Source organism: Homo sapiens, chromosome 9 (assembly GCF_000001405.40).
Source record: "Homo sapiens chromosome 9, GRCh38.p14 Primary Assembly".
NCBI classification, from domain to species: domain Eukaryota; kingdom Metazoa; phylum Chordata; class Mammalia; order Primates; family Hominidae; genus Homo; species Homo sapiens.
The window spans coordinates 104,837,826-104,856,434 of record NC_000009.12 but is presented as its reverse complement, the minus strand read 5'-3'; the positions used below and the strand labels follow the sequence as shown (position 1 = coordinate 104,856,434).

Sequence of the window (18,609 nt, the reverse complement as noted above, 5' to 3'; positions counted from 1 at the left end):
TTATGACCAGGTATTGATTAAGGTGGCTACTACCAGGTGCTTTCTGCATATCTCGGGTTTGTGGAGCACTCAGGTTCTGCTTCTGCCCCTCTGCTGTTACCAAGAGACCTCTCTTCAAAATGGGGCTCTTGAGTTAGAGTAGAATGAGTGATCAGGATTGTTTTGTGTAAAGATGATTTCTGAGGAAGGCTTTAGGATGAAATGACTTCCAAACATTTTGAAATGTGACTCTTACTTATTGAATTAAGCAGGGCCTTAATTGGAATGCTGGGACTGATACTTGATTTGCATTAAGCAGCCTTTTTCTATTGCTGCTTGGTTGAAATTTCAACATTTGTGATGGTAGATGGATGTGACATGTGATGACATTGCACATGGGCAGTTAACTGTGCCAAGAAGTGCAGCAGTAGCAGCAACCGGAGATGCAAAGCCCAACATGATGGGGAGAGAAACTCTTCTTTCAATATGTGCTTCTGTACCAAAAGTGGAATTTCACGAGAGACATATTTTGAAACATTTCTCCTTTTGTGTGTGCGTGAGTGTTTCCCTGTTTCCAGCCAAGGGTATTGTGAGTTTCTCCTGGGCCTCCTTCAGAATCTGGGTGCTCTGGAAAGCAGTGTTTTGGCAACATGGGGAAAGTATGGCAGTGTGGGAGGGTCAGCTGGGTCTGGGTTTGAATATTGCATTTGAATATTTTACCAGCATTGATGTCGGATAAATTATTTAGTCCCTGTAAGCCTCAGTTTTCTCTTCTTCTACATACACATAATATATTTGACTCTTTGTTGTGATTATTGGTTACACATATGAAGAGCCTGGTGTGGGGCCTGGCACACAATAGGTGCTCAATAAATAGAAGTTGATAATTTAATTGACATGAGTAGTAGAAATTATGTCCTTGAAAACAATTGCGTCAAGATAGAAGTTTTCAGCCAGGCACAGTGGCTCACATCTGTTGTAATCCCAGCATATTGTGGGGGCCGAGGCGGATGAATCACTTGAGGCCAGGAGTTCAAGACCAGCCTGGCCAACGTGGTGAAATCCCCTCTCTACTAAAAATACACATATTTGCCAGGCAGGCGTGGTGGCGCACACCTGTAATCCCAGCTACTGAAGAGGCTGAGGCACAAGAATCGCTTGAACCCAGGAGGTGGAAGTTGCAGTGAGCTGAGATCACTCCACTGCATTCCAGCCAGCGTGACAGAGTGAGACTCTGTCTCAGAAAAAGAAAAAAAAGATAGAAGTTTTCTTCTGTAGATCAGTGTTAGAACTCATACCAAGCGAAGTGGTCCTGGTGAGTATTTCAGTGAAAAACTGCATTCTTGCTCAGATATTGTCAAGACTTTTCACCCAAAGATTCTTATTTATGTCTCAGTCCGTACCTTGTGTGAAAATTAATACTGGATGTCAGAACGCTGTTGTGTTTTTAAAGTTCCCTGGGGTTAAGAGCAGTTTCCATTAGGTGTTCTCTGCTTTTTACTTAAAAATCTTACTCATGCATTGAGCAATATTTATTCAGTTCTTATTATGTGTCAGGTATTTTCTAGGAGCTGGACTCAACTCAAAAGATATCCTTTTGATGAGAACAAAGGTGGGTGGATATATGAAATATTATCTGTGGGATAAATGCACTTAGTCATGAGGGAGACTTGTTATGGAGTGCGCTCATTGTATTTGTACTGTTGAGTTAACAACTTCTAGGAGGAGCTCAGGGCCACCTGGCAGGGGCTTCTTTTGTCTTGCTGCTCAGCAAGGTGTATTTTGCTGTAGAGTGTGCTGGGCAGGTGAACTTTTCTTAACTTTCTCTTGGGTCCTTCCTAAAGCAGCATGTACCTTTCCCAGAGCGAGGAGAGGGCCACCTTCCTGTCTCACAGAAACCTCCAATCTGTTTTGGACTGCAGGAAGGAGCCATAGTAGTGGACCAGCAAATTTTGGCCCGAGAGATTGATTTGCTTCCGATTGTACTTTTTTTTTTTATTGCTACTATAACAAGTCACCAAATACTTAGCAGTTTATAACCACATACATTTATTATTTCATAAGGCCAGAAGCCAGGATACAGTAGAGCTCACCTAGGTCTACTTCTTAGAGGCTCACAGGGCTGATATCAAGGTGTTTGTGGGGCTGTGTTTTTTTGGGGGGGCTCTGAAGATGAATCTGCTTTGGAGCTCATCCAGGATATCAGATGAATTCAGTCCCGTGCAGTTGTAGGACTGAAGTCCATTTCCTTGCTGGCTGTCAGCAGGGGCTGGTTTTTGCTCCTAAAGGTTGCCATCATTCCTTCTTATGCTTTTCATGTGACTCCTCTCCCACAAGTGGGTTGAGTATCTCTCACACTTTAAACCTCTGACGCCTCCTGTCACATCTGTCTCCAGTCAGAGAAAGTTCTTTACTTTTAAGGGCTCAGGTGTTTAGTTTGGGCCCATTCACATAATCCAGGATAATCTCCTTATTTTGAGGTTCATAACTTTAATTACATCTACACAGTGCATTTGCTATGAAATGTGCATATTCACAGACTCCAGGAATAGGGTGTGGACATCTTTGCAGGGGATATTCAGTCTGCTGTAGCTTTCTTGATTGGAAGGAATAGTTTATCATATATTTGAAGTGTTCCCTCAGTGCCTTTGGCTTTTGTTGACCCCTCTGCAGCTCTCTGCTTTTTCTTGCCCATATTTGGAAAGTGACTCTAAAGCATAATAAGCATCACCTATTAGGGTTTTTAATGTACAAACCAAACAGAGGTGACTTTGGGAGGAGAACATCTCTGAACTAGGTATGAGACATTCATCGAAAAAAATCCATCAAGTGTTTATTGTATGTCTGCTTTATACCAGCACTGTTCTAGGCACTGAAGTTCGACCACCAACAAGGCAGTTGTGATGCACTTGGAGCTTTCATTCTGATGGGCATTGAGATCCAGGCTGAAGGCTGAGTCTGGGAATTTGAGGAATTCTTTGTAGGTCCTGGGTCTACAGAGTGAGAGCTGTCCTCGTTCCAGTTTCACTGATGACCTCTCGACCAGCTCCCTCACAGCAGTCTTTGCCAACACAGACACTGTGGGCTGTAGTGGGAGGAATGTGGGGTTGAATGAGCTAGGTTTGGGCTCTGTCCTTGACTCACCATTGCCTCAGTGATGTGAAAATGGTGTCTGATCCTTAAGGTTGGAAGTCCAGGCATGCAGATTTATCTCCATCTCAATAACGTGGGGAAAAAAAAGAAGTGGTTTTTGTGGAACCAGTGGTTCCACTGTCCACGTGTCTTCCAGTGTGCCTAGCACATTCCCACCAAGTGGATCTTGGTTCATGAGGGAAAGAAGGGAAAGTGAGGGTGCCCCGAGGCTCCCAGAAGACAAGTAATGTCACAGCTGAGCTGTGTACAGATCGAAGAAGCAGATGGATAAGGAGTGAACAAAGTCATCCTTGTCTTGAGGGGTCTTTATTTAGCTTCTTCTTGACTCTTAGACAAGGACCCAGAATACAGATGGGGCTTGTTGTTACCTTCAGCCTCATGGCTTTTTAGGGCTAGATACTTCAGCTTGTTACATGCAGTCCTTAAAGCGTCTGTGTGGGTTTTTGCAGGAGAGAACACTTGCTCGTGTTCTCCTGTCTGGAACCCGGACATTGTTGGAAAGTATCAGATTTTGTTTGGCTTTGTGTGATTTGACTGCCCACCTGTTTACTTGCTTTCTCCCAGCAAGCAGCCGCAATCCCCATGGGTTGGTAATGGGTGGAATGACACACTGTGTAGATTTACTCTTCAGACTCTATGTTCACCTCATTCTTATGGGAAAAGAAGAGCACTAGCTGGTAGATATAGCAGTGTGTTAATATGACTGCTCAACTCCATTTACACAGACATTTTCACCTTAGTTATACTATTTCTTCATTAAATATTGTTGCCAGATCTAAGATACAGGTTTAATTTTTTCCTCTGAATTATGTGGTAGTAGATGTATTTAACTATGTTTAGAAACAGCAAAAAATGAAGCGTTTGAATGCGTTAAACACATCTAATTTGAAAGTTAATATTTAGGTTGTTGATTTATTTTTTAAAAGATTAGAATATTCCTTAGAAATGTAGTCTTATAATTTCGTATTTCAATAAAAAATATTAAAATGTTTCCCAGAGGAAATCTTTACTGTCATAGAAATCACCAGAAAGAGATAGCAATTACTCCTGGGTGGTGATAGTCTTTGATTTGTGGTTTACTTGTTTTCAGTTTGAACTAAAACATACTAATCCCAGCCTGAGTTGGATTTTGCATATGGTCAAAGTGAAGTAGAGATTTTTGTCTACTTTATGAAGATATTTAAAGGACATTTGAAATGTTTCAATGAACACATTGTAACATGCATTCCCAGGAGGAAAACAAAATTGTGTATTGTGTTGAAAATACTATTCCAATATATGTATACCCACGTCTCATTTTGTCATAGAATTCCTGAAAAATTTAGATGTAGATGAGATTTTTATAAGTTGAAAATATTTTCAGTTGCATTTTAATTGCACAGATGTGTTTTCTACTTCTATTTGGCTGTGACTCCTAATGCATTGTAATATTATCTTCCAGTGTTCATTTCGTGTAGTGATAATGGATTAACAAATGCATTCATTCATTTAGTAAACATTTACTGAGCCCTAATCAGTGCCATGCTCTGGCCCAGGGAGGTAGTCATGTGCAAGGTCCAGCCCTCTCTGTTTCATTCCTGGTTGGGGAATGGGTGGGACAGACCAGGAAAGGAGCAGCTGCCGTATAGAGCAGGAGACGCTCTGCTGGGTGTGATACAGTCCCTGATGGGGCCTCCTACTGCAGTCTTTCCAGTCAGGAAGGAAACATCCTCTAAGTGGGGACCTAAAGAATGGATGTCAGCCAGGTAAAGAACAGGGAGTAGAATGTTCCAGGTAGAGGACATAGTATATGCATTGGTCCAGAGAGGAGAGGGAAGAGAAGGTGGCATTTAGGGGAACTGTACCTGATTGAGATAGTTCAGCATGGAGCAGATATAGCTGTGGGGAGTTTGATGGGAGAAGGAACGATGAGACGTGATGCCTGCAGAGGTGGGCAAAGGTCGGCTGAGGCAGGTCTTTCTTCACGAGCCATGTGAGGATATAGGGCCTTATCCTCAGAGTAAAGGGAGCCATTAAAGGCTCCACAGGCTGAGTGACTTGATGAGGTGAATACGAAACAGAGCATTTCTGTGAATGTGAATGGCCTTTGGAGCAGAACTAAGTTCATGAGGATGGAAAGAATATAATGAAGCCATCTCTTAGACCCAGAAAGAATGGGGCACAACAGCCTTTATCTTTCTGGGGCCAATGTCACAGAATGCCATGCTTTTAGGAAACATGGTATGTTGTGATTAACACATTTTGCAGAAGTGGGTGGGAGCTTTTGAATAATAACAGTAAGCATTTGTGCATTCTTCCTGTAATGACATTACAGTTATGATCTGAAAATATTGAGTCATACATGAATTCCTGTTATCTTAACTCAGAAAATATAGTCCCTCACTAAAGGTTTTATTTTCCTTCTTTTTCCCATTTCCTTTACTTCGTATAAGAAAGTCACTTGTCTCCTGGGTGCAATGGAGACCTATGTGAGTTCATAGCCAAGAGAATGTTTTTGGTTAGAAAAATAATAGTAGGAATTCCAAGCTGTGAATTTTTTACTGAAGCTCTTTGGAAATAGGATTTGGCAAGTTTTGTCTGCCTTCGTCAAGTAAGCATGAGCAGGAGAGCACAGTTAATAGCAGGTGCAGACACATGATTCTCAGACCGTATTTTGTGTTCTAGTTTCAAGGCATGAATTCTTTCCTGGGGTTAATTTTATTCAAGGAAGTTATCTGTCTGTTAGATCTGATATGTGCTCAGGCCAACATAGATTCTTTACCCTTCCTTTCTTCCTGCTCACCTGTCCTTCCTCTTTTATCTTTTCATTGAATTAAAAAGAAAATTATGAAATAGTTTCAACATGAAAAAAGGTACAGAGAATAACATAAAGAACACTCCTGGCTGGGTGTGGTGGCTCACGCCTGCAATCCCAGCACTTTGGGAGTCTGAGGCAGCCAGATCACTGGAGGTCAGGAGTTGGAGACCAGCTTGGCCAACATGGTGAAACACTGCCTCTACTGAAAATACAAGAATTAGCCAGGCATGGTGGCGTGCACTTGTAATCCCAGCTACGTGAGAGACTGAGGCAGGAGAATTGCTTGAACCCAGGAGGGGGAGGTTGCAGTGAGCTGAGATCACACCACTGCACTCTAGCCTGGGTGACAGAGTGAGACTCCGTCTTCAAACAAACAAACAAACAAAAAGAACACTCCTGTACCATCATCCATCATTTTGCCGTGCTGACTCCAGGTTCTATTTAAGAAATAAAACATTACAGGTACAGCTGATGCCACCTCTGTTTCCCTAGCTCATTCTTCAGAGATAACTCTTGTCTTGCAGTTGGATGTTTTAATCCTCTATATCATGTATACTTACATTCTATGTATAACAATATTTGGTACTGGCCTAAATGTGTTCACATTGTATAAGTGTGCATATTGGCCTGCCACTTCATTTGGAATTATGTTCTTGAGATTTATCAATGTTGATACATGTGGAATCTGGTTAATTTTTGCCATAGTATTCTATTTTTATACTAAACTTTTAAAAATCCATGCTTCTAGTCTTTGGCTTATTTTTTCAGGTTATGGTATGTTTTGGATGCACAGAAAAGTAAAATTAAGTCATGAGCAAAATATCTGGATAATCCAAGCTTTAAACTTGATGTAGAATTTGAATCATGTGTGTTTTGTTAACCCTGTGATGTCAATCCATGCCTGATTGTGTAACTCCAACCAATATTCCTTTGAAAATGGAAATTTGTTTATATTGACTACAGATTGCCAATATTATTAGTAAATGCTGAGCACTTAATCTCGAATAAAGAACTAGTTTAAAAATGATTCTAACAATGGCATTGACTGTTCTACCTTATTACTCATGGGTGGGTTCAGCCAATGTTTCTGTTGGAGACCAAAACCAAAAACAGTCAAATTAAACAAGCAGTCAAACCCAACATACAGACTACTGATAAGAAGGTCATATCATAAGATATGGCATTGAATTTGTGTCTGCTAATGTAAAAATCTGATGCCCACAGCAAACTTAATAAGGACCTATGTTTACATCCATGCTCAATTACATTCCTGGGTTAAACAGTCATGCTTTAGGCCCTGCTGTGTGCCTGGAGTTTTGCTGAAGTGTGGGGCTTTTAAGAGAAGGAGAATAAGCTTGCTCCAGAGTTAAGAAATTTAAACTAAAAGTCCTAAAGATGTTGGAAAAACTATTGCCCTTGAAGATGTAAATTCATTAAGTTGGAGAAGACCTTTTATACAAACAACAGACCCATTCACTGATTTGTACCCTTCAGGAGACAGATGACCGGTAATGGTGACAATGGGTGAATGTTGGGTTTGGGGTTTTTAGAAACATCTGCACTTGGTGACTACTGTATCTAATTGGTGTGACAAACCTGGCACCCCATGTGTTTGGCACCATCTTGGGTCCTACTCAGGGCCAGGTGAACCGAGTGGCCTCTTCACTGCTTCAGAGTCTGAAGCAGATTGTAGTATGCGGACCAGACACAGAATATACCACCAAGCACGTTGGCGCAAAGCATACTGGGAAGGGAGGCTTTGTGAACATGGTGCTGGTTCTCAAACCTCAGTGCTCAAAAGAGTCTCCTGAGGATTCCTGGATCACACTCTTAAACTTCTCATTCAGTAGGTGTTAGCTGGTTGAGAATCTGCATTTTTTTTTTTTTTTCTGAGACCGAGTCTCACTCTGATGCCCAGGCTGGAGTGTATTGGCGCCATCTTGGCTCACTGCAACCTCTGCCTCCCAGGTTCAAGCAATTTTCCTGCCTCAGCCTCTCTAGTAGCTGGGATTACAAGCACATGCCACCATGCCTGGCTAATTTTTGTACTTTTAGTAGAGAGGGGGTTTCGCCGTGTTGGCCAGGCTCGTCTTGAACTCCTGACCTCAGGTGATCCACCCACTTTGGCTTCCCAAAGTGTTGAGATTACAGGTGTGAGCCACCATGCCCAGCCTGAATCTGCATATTTAACAAGCACCACAGGTGATTCTGATACAGTAGCTCCCCAAACCTCACAGTGTTAGTGAATCCCAGTCATTTACAATTCTGCCATGATTTTGGTCATATTCAAGTGCAGCTGGTAGCATTTTTAGTTAATATATTTTTTAAATTAAGTCACTTCTTTTGGATAATTAAATTTAATTACAAGGGAAGCTATACCACTGCTGTAAAAACATCACCTGCTTTAAAGAGAAGGTACATAATGAATATACATTAAGATAAAGATGTATATGTGTGTGTGTGTGCACATATAAGTATACACATACCTACCATAGGGATTGAGTTTTCCTTCAGGTTTTTCAACTGAAATGTCAACTTTGAGGCCAGTTAATATGTGTAAGATATATGTGTGTATGTATGTCTATACATATAGACATATACGTAAAAACATACATGGATGCATATAGTATATCTATACACAACCTATTATGCATATCATGTATATTTCATCCACTTAGTATTATCTTTTATTTTGCCGTTTGGCAAATGCTCAGTAAAAGAAAAGGGTTAGAAGGGGAGAAAGGCATTTTATCCCAAGCCTTCAGGAATCAGGATGAGGATGTCTTCACCTTGTGGTGGGGAGTAATTATACAATTAGAGACAGCACATTGGAGTGTGGCTGATATGCTGTGTGATGATAGCTCTAGCTCTCTGCCTAGCAGAGGAAGGACATTTCAATAGAAGAAAAAGTTTAAGACCTTGCCGAGAAACAGAGAAAGGATGTTTGTCTTTTTAAGAAGTTGAAAACCCTGTTTGCAGACAAAAGCCCTCCAGTTTTGGCAGTAAACTTTCATGCAAGGGAAGAAAAAGGCAGGGGATGACATTGTTGACAATTGTGAGGAATTACCATGTGCCAGGCACTGTGCGAGGGGCTTTGTACATATCCTCTAGTTTTAGTGCTTATAAAAACTCTGTGATATGTGCACAGCATTTTAAACTTTGCTGCATAGTCGAGAAAATGGAAGGATGGGGAATTTGAGTCATTTGCCCAGGGTTCTATAGCTACCCCAGGTTCCCATGACTGGAGAATTGGGGCACAGGGTGGCGGGGGAGAGTGAGTGACAAGAATCCTAACAATCTTATTTCCATTGAGTCCTTATAAAAGAAGTGGATTAACTACCACGTTTTTAAGTTTTTCTTAAATTTAGGTTATGTGGATCTGGCGTTTCTTGTTTTGTCCTGGGTTTGTTTTGTTTTTGCTATGCTGTCTTGAACATCTGTCATCTTGTAGGCCTAACGGTAAACACAAAAACACTTTACCTCCTATAGCTTTCAATTAAGATCTCTCAGTTTGTGTTTGTAATAGTTTTCCAGGCAAGTTCTCCCTAGGTTCGGCTTCTAGTGTGTTAACCTTTAGTTATAAAGTGAACCCAAAGAGAGAAAGTAGAAACAAAACACCTCACCTGTTTTTGCTCATGAATTACTCTCTATGGAAGGAACAATCATGAACACCTCTGCGTATCACAGAGGCCTATCTGAGTCTGACGTTTAAGGGAGACCGCGTAGGTCCCTTTGAGGACTGTGAATGTGGGAGTCCTGGGACTCTGGTGAAGAACCCGTTCCAGAAGAGATGAATGAGCTGGACAAGTTCTTTCATAGAACCTTTAGGCAGGTTTTCTTAGAAATGCACATTGAGGATTATGCTTGGATATTGTGATGATCAGAATGATACTCAATCCCTTCTGCATTTGGAATTCTCTTTGAAAGAAAACATCCCAGGCAGCTATTTCTCAGAGATAGTGAGTCCCAGCCACTTCTAGACATTTTCTTGTGTAGTCTACATTATAATTTCACAGCAGTCTCTGATATGACAAATGTCAAAATAGCCCAACCTTCTCTAAACTTCAGAGATGTCTGATATGATATTGAATAAAACAATGCTCATAGAAACATCAAGAAAGGTGGATTTTCCCTGGATACTTTTTTCCTGCTTGACAAATAACAGTGAAGAAACTGATCTCACGTCTTTTTCTCTTTGGAAGCCTGAACACTCAGAACCCAACTTGAGGCTCCTCAGCTATAGCAATTCTGACTTCACAGTCTGTAAATTATTGTTCTTTTTTTTCTTTAGCTTATGCTTTCTGCCCTAATTTATCTTTTCCCTGTTCTAATGAATTATTGTCCTATATCTGCTGTGCAGTTAGGTGACATATAACAGCAATTAAATATATGAATTGGTACATATAAAGATTTGACTAAAACTCGATGTAAAAATAAGTGTTCTACATTCAATTTCCAGTGTTAGAAACAGTGCTGACTTGAACAGAGTGACAGAATTCCATCTTTCCCTATTTTTGACAGCTTTAAACTTTATATTTTCTTCCTTTCTTGTGAGCCGTCATTAACTTGTTTCTCAAAGCCATTCCCGTATTACCCATCTTGCAGACGCAGACAGATTTGGGAATTTGCGGTCAGAGTTGTATTGGACACATCCCCCCAGCCCACATGAGATCCTTTTAATCTATTGCATATTAACTAGTTTTAAGTACAATATTCCTACTTCATTTAAAACCATTAATCAAAGAATGAGTTTGAAAATGAACAAAATGCAAACTTACAGTTAGAAATAATTGTAGTGTCTTTAGTTTTGGTTAGGAGTCGGTTTCTTGTTTGTTAAACTCAAGATTGTGAACAGTTTTAATTCACTTGTTTATTTCCAATAGAGATTTCAGGTTTACATTTGAATTCAGAAACAAAGTTTTCTTTCTCATTACAGAGAACACTAAACTCTACATCTCCCTTCCCGAGCAAGGAGCTGGCTGAAGCCACAAAAACATTGCTGCATAGTCTTGGGACTCTGGCCCAGGAGGTAAGTTGTGTCTTTCCAGTACCAGGAAGCGGATCATCCACTGTATCAGTATTTTCATTCCTGAGTCTGGCAAGAGGTCCTTTTGAGTTGAATATCACATGGGATGTAATATCAATTTTCAAAGTATAAGTGATGTAAACAATAATGTTTTGATTTCCTTATTTTAGAAATGAAGAAACCTAAAACTCATAGATGTCTCAGAGCTAATTGGTTAGTGGCTAACAGCTGGATATCTAGTTTAGAACCTTCTCCATTTTTTCTTTTTGCCCCTAGGTAATCATACATTTGTAAAGAGGAGAATTATCTCTGCCACTGCCCATGCACTGCTTTTGTCTGACCAGCAATTTCTCCATATTGCTTCTTCAGTAGCAAGGCCAATCATTTTACCAACACACATGCTTGCTAACTAACAGGAATAACGTGGTACCCCTAATTCAGCCCTTTCCCTTGAAAGCATCTGGCTTCTGAGGTTCAACTATGGGAATATGGTCTCTTAATGAACATTAAGTTGAGTTTGCCTTTTAGGTCCACATGTTGACAAATGTATCAGAGTAATCTCTGTCCTAGGATCAGAGGGCCTGTAGGCACTTGCAAAAGCAGTTAGCTCTGACTCCCAGCCAGTGCACACTCCACCTTTCTGACTCCCAGCCTTGTCTCAAATTAGGCTTGGAAGCGAGGAACTGTCTGGTGTCCCCCAGCATAGGAAGCTGAGCCAGGGGGCAGTGCTCACAAACAATACAGACTTTAACGTGTAGGATATTGGAAAATAATAATTTGTGGGGAAATTGTCTCAGACTTGGTCCACCCTTATTTTTAGCTGCTTCTCTAATCCGTTTTTCTTTTTTTGGTGCTTGTATCTAACCTACCCATTTTTTGGTGCTTGCATCATTTTTTCAAATATCAAAAACGAACTTTATGTTTTCTAACAATGAAAGTATTGCATGTTCATTGTGGAAAATGCTGAAGACTTGGAAAATACAAAAATGCTGAGATCAAACACTATTGATACGTTAGTGTATTTCTTCCTGTCCTGTTCTACTTTCTTTCTTTGAATTCTGCTCACGTGTTTCTGACTGATGAGGTCTGACTTTTGGGTTCCTTTTCCAGAGGAGAAGCCTTCTTTCAGCTTGCCATTTGTTACCCTGGTTATGAAGGCTGGTAACCTTTTTTACTAGGTAGAGAAGCTGGACCAACTGGGGTTCTTCCAGGGGGAGAATGAGAAAGAGAAACTGTTTTGCAAGTCCGTAGCTATTTCTCTAGGGCCCTGTTAGCTGACATTGACATGCCTTGCATTGCTCTGCAGATCCCCTCGCAGCCCTCTGTCCCTTGTTCATTTCTGGCCTTAGAGAAAGCAAAGCAGGGTCTGTAACAGGGGAGGCTGCCTCTAAACTCAGGGTTTGGTTACAGCTGTTTTCACTTACATCACTGGCCCTGGTTTTTTTTTTTTTTCTGGCATTAAAAAAAAAAATTGGAAGCAGGTGATGTTCCCATTGCTGATGTGGTGGAAACTCTCCAAGTGAACAATATACGTTTTTCTTGGCAGCTGTTTCTTGTGCCCTGCTTGCTCCTGGTCCAGGACAAGCAAGGACCATCTGCCTCTTTCAATAGAACACCTCCAGATCCCTTTGATCAAAAGTTACTCATTGTCTGACTTGCTATTTCTGTGAGATAAATGGGAGAAGATCAATAAATGCACTTGTTTGTCCAGTCAGCGTGTGGAAAGTTGATAATTTTGACCAAAGCACAACCCTTGAAAGGAAAAGAAAAAGGGAGTGAATGTCTTCTGAGAAGCTGCCTAGGTTCAGACAGTGTCACCCATTTCCCTGTATGCTCCACATGACAAACCTGAGTGGGTCTCATCATGTCCATTTTGCAGATGGCACCAAGGCTCAGAAAGGTTAGGCAACTTTTCCAGTCACCCAATGAGTTAATTGACAAAACTGGGATTCAAACCCAGAACTGTTGGATTCCAAAGCCTGTGTTGTTGCCTGCTTCGTGAAAAACTCCAGTAGCGACTGGAATAGAAAGGAGAACCTTCCAAGAAAGAAAATACGCACTAGCAGAACCTGGAAATTGGGAGGAAATGAGGACTTGAGGAATAAGATGAATGAAAGCTGACCTGAGTTTCACATCTGGGTGATGGGAAGGGAGGACAGGGAGGCAGCATCTCAGATGTCCACCCAGCACCGACCAGCTGCCTGGCATTGCTAGGTGTTGAGGACTCAGCAGTGAACACGCTAACTTCTCTGCTTTCTTGGGGCACGTATAGGGTGAGAGACAGAAACAAACAGGTCAGTGTACAATGCCACAGGAGGGATATATGCAGTGAAGAAAAAGCAGGGTAAGGGGCATAGAGCATGAGAAGGTGCTTTTTTTAAAGGGGGTGATTAGGAAAGCTCTCTCTAAGGTGACAGTTGGACCTGAAGGAGATGATAGCATGTCTGTGGTGAGGGAAGGAAACTCCGAACAGGAAGAATGGCAGATACAAAGACATTGATGCTAGAGCATGCCTAAGGAATGTGTTTAAGGACCAGGGAAAGTGAGCAAGTGGTGGGGGGAGGAGAGGAGCTCAGAGCAGGAGGAGGTGAGTGCCATACAGGCCTGGCAAGACTTTGGATTCCTGCTGGGTGAGATGAGAATCCAGCGGAGGGCTTGAGGGAGGGGACATGATGTGATCTAGAGTTTAGACTGTTTACACTCTGGTTGTTGGGTTGAGAAGAGACTGGGATGGGGGAAAGGGAGGACAAAGGACATTGTGCTGGATTGAGAAAGCAGTAAGTCAGTTTCATTCATTCACTCAACCGATGATGTTCAAATACCACCATCATCCGTGGGCTAAAGGATGAAGAGCCATCCCTCCCTGAGAGTCAGGAAGCACTTCCCAGATAAAGTTTGGAGTGTGAGCTGAGGTGTAGGAGAAAGAGTAAGAGTTTACCCCTGAAACGGGTGCTGGGAAGAGTCAATAGTTTGGAATAACTCAATAATTTATGGTGCTTCTTTAGAAAGATTTGCTGGCTTTATGTGGGAAGAAATTTTTTTTTTTGATTGGGGAGTGGTGGGTTGGTGGTGAGGCTGCCTGTGGAAAGAGAAGTGAGTGTTTTGACTCACTGTTATTTAAAAATCTCTAGGGCTGTTCCAATAAGCAACAAAAGGCAAAATGGCCTGGTTCTCTGTCCCCTTTCTGTCTGTATGCCTCGTACAGGTTATGAAAAGAAAAAGTTGGGAAAAGCTGTCCACCTCACCTAATTGTGTTCTTGTGGAGTGTGCTAGATGCCCCCTCTCTGGAGAAAAAAAATCCTTGTGGCCTCTGACCCACCTCTGGAGAGCCTAGTTCCCTTCTGGAGGCAGAAGGCAAAGCTTAGGACCTAGAGAGTGCTGGACCACGCCACTCACAGGAACCAGCAGGCTGTGAGGTTGAAAGCTAGGCATATGGAGCTTTCCAGGCTGGGTGCAGGGCCTCGTGGCCCTTCCCCTCCCCTCTGTGCTCTATAGCTCAGTCTTCCCAGGCGGTGTGAACACGCAGTGACATTTCCAGGAATACAGGGATTTATTAATGATTTCTTGTGAAATGTTTGGAAATACAAAGTACTCTATAAATATTTCATAATAGCATTGGGGCTGAGAACTCCACAAAGTGCCGGAATACATTTGCATGTAAGACAGAACGCTGCCTGGGTCATTGATGCCTGTTGAGTGGCAGTCACAGACACTGCCTAGGGTTTCTGACTCACGCTGTTGGGACTGTTCTATGCAGGGCACCCTCTTGTGTGGCATAGGATTTGTGCCTCACCACACACTGTTGTAGCTTTGCTGTCTTGATGATGAGTAGAGGGCAGTGTCCAGGCCATGGTATAAGCATCTACTGCCCCCCAGGGTTACCAAAACCAAGCCAAGTTGTGTCTCAGCGAGCTCCGTGAAGCATGGAGAAGTTGAGTACTCAGAGACATGACGTGACTTTTCAAAGGCTGTAAGCTGACGAGGGACATAGCTAGGGTTCAGACTTGAGTTTTTCTTTTTCTTTTTCTTTTTCTTTTTTTTTTAAGACTGAGTCTTGCTTTTGTCGCCCAGGCTGGATTGCAGTGGTGCTTGGCTCACTGCAACCTCTGCCTCCCGGGTTCAAGCAATTCTCCTGCCTCAGCCTCCCCAGTAGCTGGGATTACAGGCACCTGCCACCATGCCTGGCCAACATTTTTGTATTTTTTTAGTAGAGATGGGGTTTCACCATGTTGGCCAGGCTGGTCTTGAACTCCTGACCTCAGGTGATCCACCCGCCTCGACCTCCCAAAGTACTGGGATTACAGGTGTGAGCCACTGCACCCGGCCCAGACTCGAGTTTTTCATCTTAATGCTTTTTCATTGCCTGACACTTTACTGAGACCAAGATAGGGAACTTCACATACAGTACCTTTTCTCCCAAGGCGGAAGAGGGCTGTTCAATTTCTACACTAGAGTTCGGGGAGTTTTAGAAATGAGTCAGTTATCGAGGATGAGAGCAGTTCCTGATAGGCTCAACCACAATGAGATGTAGCTGTTCAGAGAAAGCATTCTTTTATCTATAAACTGGAAGATAATCCCGGTGAAACGAAGCCCAGCCCCAGGGGCTTCACTAACTCCAGGCTGTGCTTCTCAAACTTTAGTGAGCATAGGAATCACCTGGGCATCTTGTGAAGCTGTAGATTTGAATTCTGCAGGTCGGCAGAGGGGTCTCAGAATCCGCATTTCCAACAATGTCTCCAGTAATGCTGATGCTGCTCGTCCCTGGACCACAGATTGGGTAGCCAGGTTCTGGCAAGCTCATCCCAAGGCTTTGAGATGACATCAGACAAAATATGTTCTGGGACATGGCTTTTGAGAGGTCAAGAAAATAAGATGTTTCTTTCTCTTCTCATCCCCAACCCTTGCACTGCCCTTTTCTCCCTTCCCCTACCCTCCTTTCTGTCCCCATCCCTGACGCCAGCTGTTCAGCATGAGAAGCTGGAGTGACATGCGACAGGAGGTGATGTTTCTGACCAATGTGAACAGCTCCAGCTCCTCCACCCAAATCTACCAGGCTGTGTCTCGTATTGTCTGCGGGCATCCCGAGGGAGGGGGGCTGAAGATCAAGTCTCTCAACTGGTATGAGGACAACAACTACAAAGCCCTCTTTGGAGGCAATGGCACTGAGGAAGATGCTGAAACCTTCTATGACAACTCTACAAGTGAGTGTCCATGCAGACCCCAGCCCTGTCCCCAACCCCATCCCTCCCTTAGTTCTGGCCTTGGCCTGTGTCATCTCCTCCCTCTGTAGCAGCGTTAGATGTCTACATGCCCATTTGCCCACCAGACTGAGCTCTTCCTAGAGGAGAGAGGCTTCTCTTGAATAGCTACCTGTCCCCAGTTCTCTGAATGCAGCCTGGCACATCTCAGGTGCACAGTAGTGTTTATCAATGGAATGAATGATTGACAGCCAACCTTCTGGTTTTCTGGGGGATGTGGAAGGGTGGCTTCCAGGGTGATCAAGAATGAGATAATGGCAGAAGGACAAATCCTGCAAGATCTCACTTATATATGGAATATATGTAAGGTAGAAAGTGTCAGTTTCACATGATGAATAAGTTCCTGGGATCTTGATGTACATCGTGATGACTATAGTTAGTAACACTGTATAGTATACTTGAAATTTGCTAAGAGAGTAGATCCGAAGTGTTCACACTACACAAAAAAGGCAACTATGAGGTGATGGATTTATTAACAGCTTGATTGTGGTGATCCTTTTACAAAGTATACATATATTAAAACATCACATTGTATACCTTAAATATATACAATTTTTATTTGTCAGTTGTAACTCAAAAAAGCTAGAAAAGCATTTTTAAAAAGGATGATGTACTGGTCTTAATATTACCATTGAGATAAGCTTTATAATAACATAAAAAGAAATAACAGTAATGATAATAGCAACAACAACAACAACAAAGAACTAACATTTAAGTAGAATTTCTTGTGCACTGTGCATTCTGTTTAAGTTATCTCATTTTACCCTCATGATAACCCTGCAGGGAAGATTCTTTAACCCCACATTTCATAGGCTCAGAGAGGTTAAGTGCCTTGGTTAGAGCCACATCAGAGTTAATCCACAAGAGCCAGGATTCAAGCCCAAATCTGCCTGGATCTGTGCTCTCTAAGATAACTGTTAGTGGTGGCGTGTGTGTTCTCACACTCAGACATTTGATCTGCCCTTTGTTTCCCATTCTTAGCTGCAAGGCAGTGTTAAAGAACCCTGTGTCTCCATATCCACTCCCCACACTTAAGCACTTTTGTGGGCCCGTGTGCCGTATGCCTCGTGGCAGCAGGGATCCAATGTCACAGTTTTAGGCAGTGGCATCCTTTTCCTTGAAAACTTGATGCAGGGGAACCTTTCTCCATTTCCAACCACAGGTGTGTCTTTCAGACACTGAGTGAGGCAGGTTTTGTACTTTATTGTAACACAAGAACCTTTTCTTCTCTGGAGTAAAGCACTCCAGACATTCGCAAGTTGCTTTACAAGCCTTAAAAGGATGGTATTGTAGGCAACTTTAATTAAATCCCATCTCCTCCTCTCCCCCAGCTTGCAAGTTGACCCAAGGAAGCCTTCATTTCCATGACAGACTTAATTGTGAGGGCATCCTCATTAAAAAAAAAAAAATTCTATTATCTTTCCAGCATATAGAAGATACTTGGTATCTAAAAATCCCTGAAAAACTTAGAATGAATTTTTAAAAATCAGGGATCCTGCTGGATAACCAAACCCATTTGTCTGTTACAACTTTTGTATTTGGGTTTTTGTTAAGTGTACATATACTAGTTTGTGTTAATTAAAGAGAATTTTTTTTTTTTTTTTTGAGAGGGAGTCTCGCTCCGTTGCCCAGGCTGGAGTGCAGTGGCGCCATCTCGGCTCACTGCAAGCTCCGCCTCCCGGGTTCACGCCATTCTCCTGCCTCAGCCTCCTGAGTAGCTGGAACTGCAGGTGCCCGCCACCATGCCCAGCTAATTTTTTTTTTTTTTGTATTTTGAGTAGAGACGGGGTTTCACTGTGTTAGCCAGGATGGTCTCGATCTCCTGACCTCGTGATCCGCCTGTCTCGGCCTCCCAAAGTGCTGGGATTACAGGCGTGAACCACTGCGCCCTGTTGAGAATTTTTTTTTTTTTTTTTGGGAGACAGAGTTTCGCTCTTGTTGCCCGGGCTAGAGTGCAGTGACACAATCTCGGCTCACTGCAACCTCTGCCTCCTGGGTTCAAGCGATTCTCCTGCCTCAGCCTCATGCGTCACCACGCCCAGCTAATTTTGTATTTTTAGTAGAGACAGGGTTTCTCCATGTTGGTCAGGCTGGTCTCGAACTCCCAACCTCAGGTGGTTCGCCCGCCTTGGCCTCCCAAAGTGCTGGGATTGCAGGCATGAGCCACTGCGCCCAGCCCCAAATTTTGGTTTTTGCTTGAAAACTGAGGTCTGAATTCAGCCTTCTGGTTGCCCCTCAAGAGTCAGTTTAAATGTTGGTCATGTTAGTTGTCAGTGAAAACAATGGTGAGGCTGGCATGAGAGTGTGAATCTGGATGGGAGGGCTTGTGCTTCATGAAAACATTTTTCCAGATCAGCTCAGTCGTGAGTTATCCGTCATTGACGTTATAATAAGCT

At 42.6% G+C, this 18,609-nt stretch overlaps 1 protein-coding gene across 1 annotated transcript in view; it reads left to right on the top strand.

The window, feature by feature from the left end:
• The window catches only part of ABCA1 (ATP binding cassette subfamily A member 1), a 147,150-nt gene that overhangs the window by 71,721 nt on the left and 56,820 nt on the right, over positions 1 to 18,609 (top strand). The window contains exons 8-9 of the mRNA NM_005502.4: positions 10,866 to 10,958; positions 15,916 to 16,156. Coding sequence (NP_005493.2) covers positions 10,866 to 10,958; positions 15,916 to 16,156 — 334 coding nt within the window. The remainder of the gene's footprint in view (positions 1 to 10,865; positions 10,959 to 15,915; positions 16,157 to 18,609) is intronic.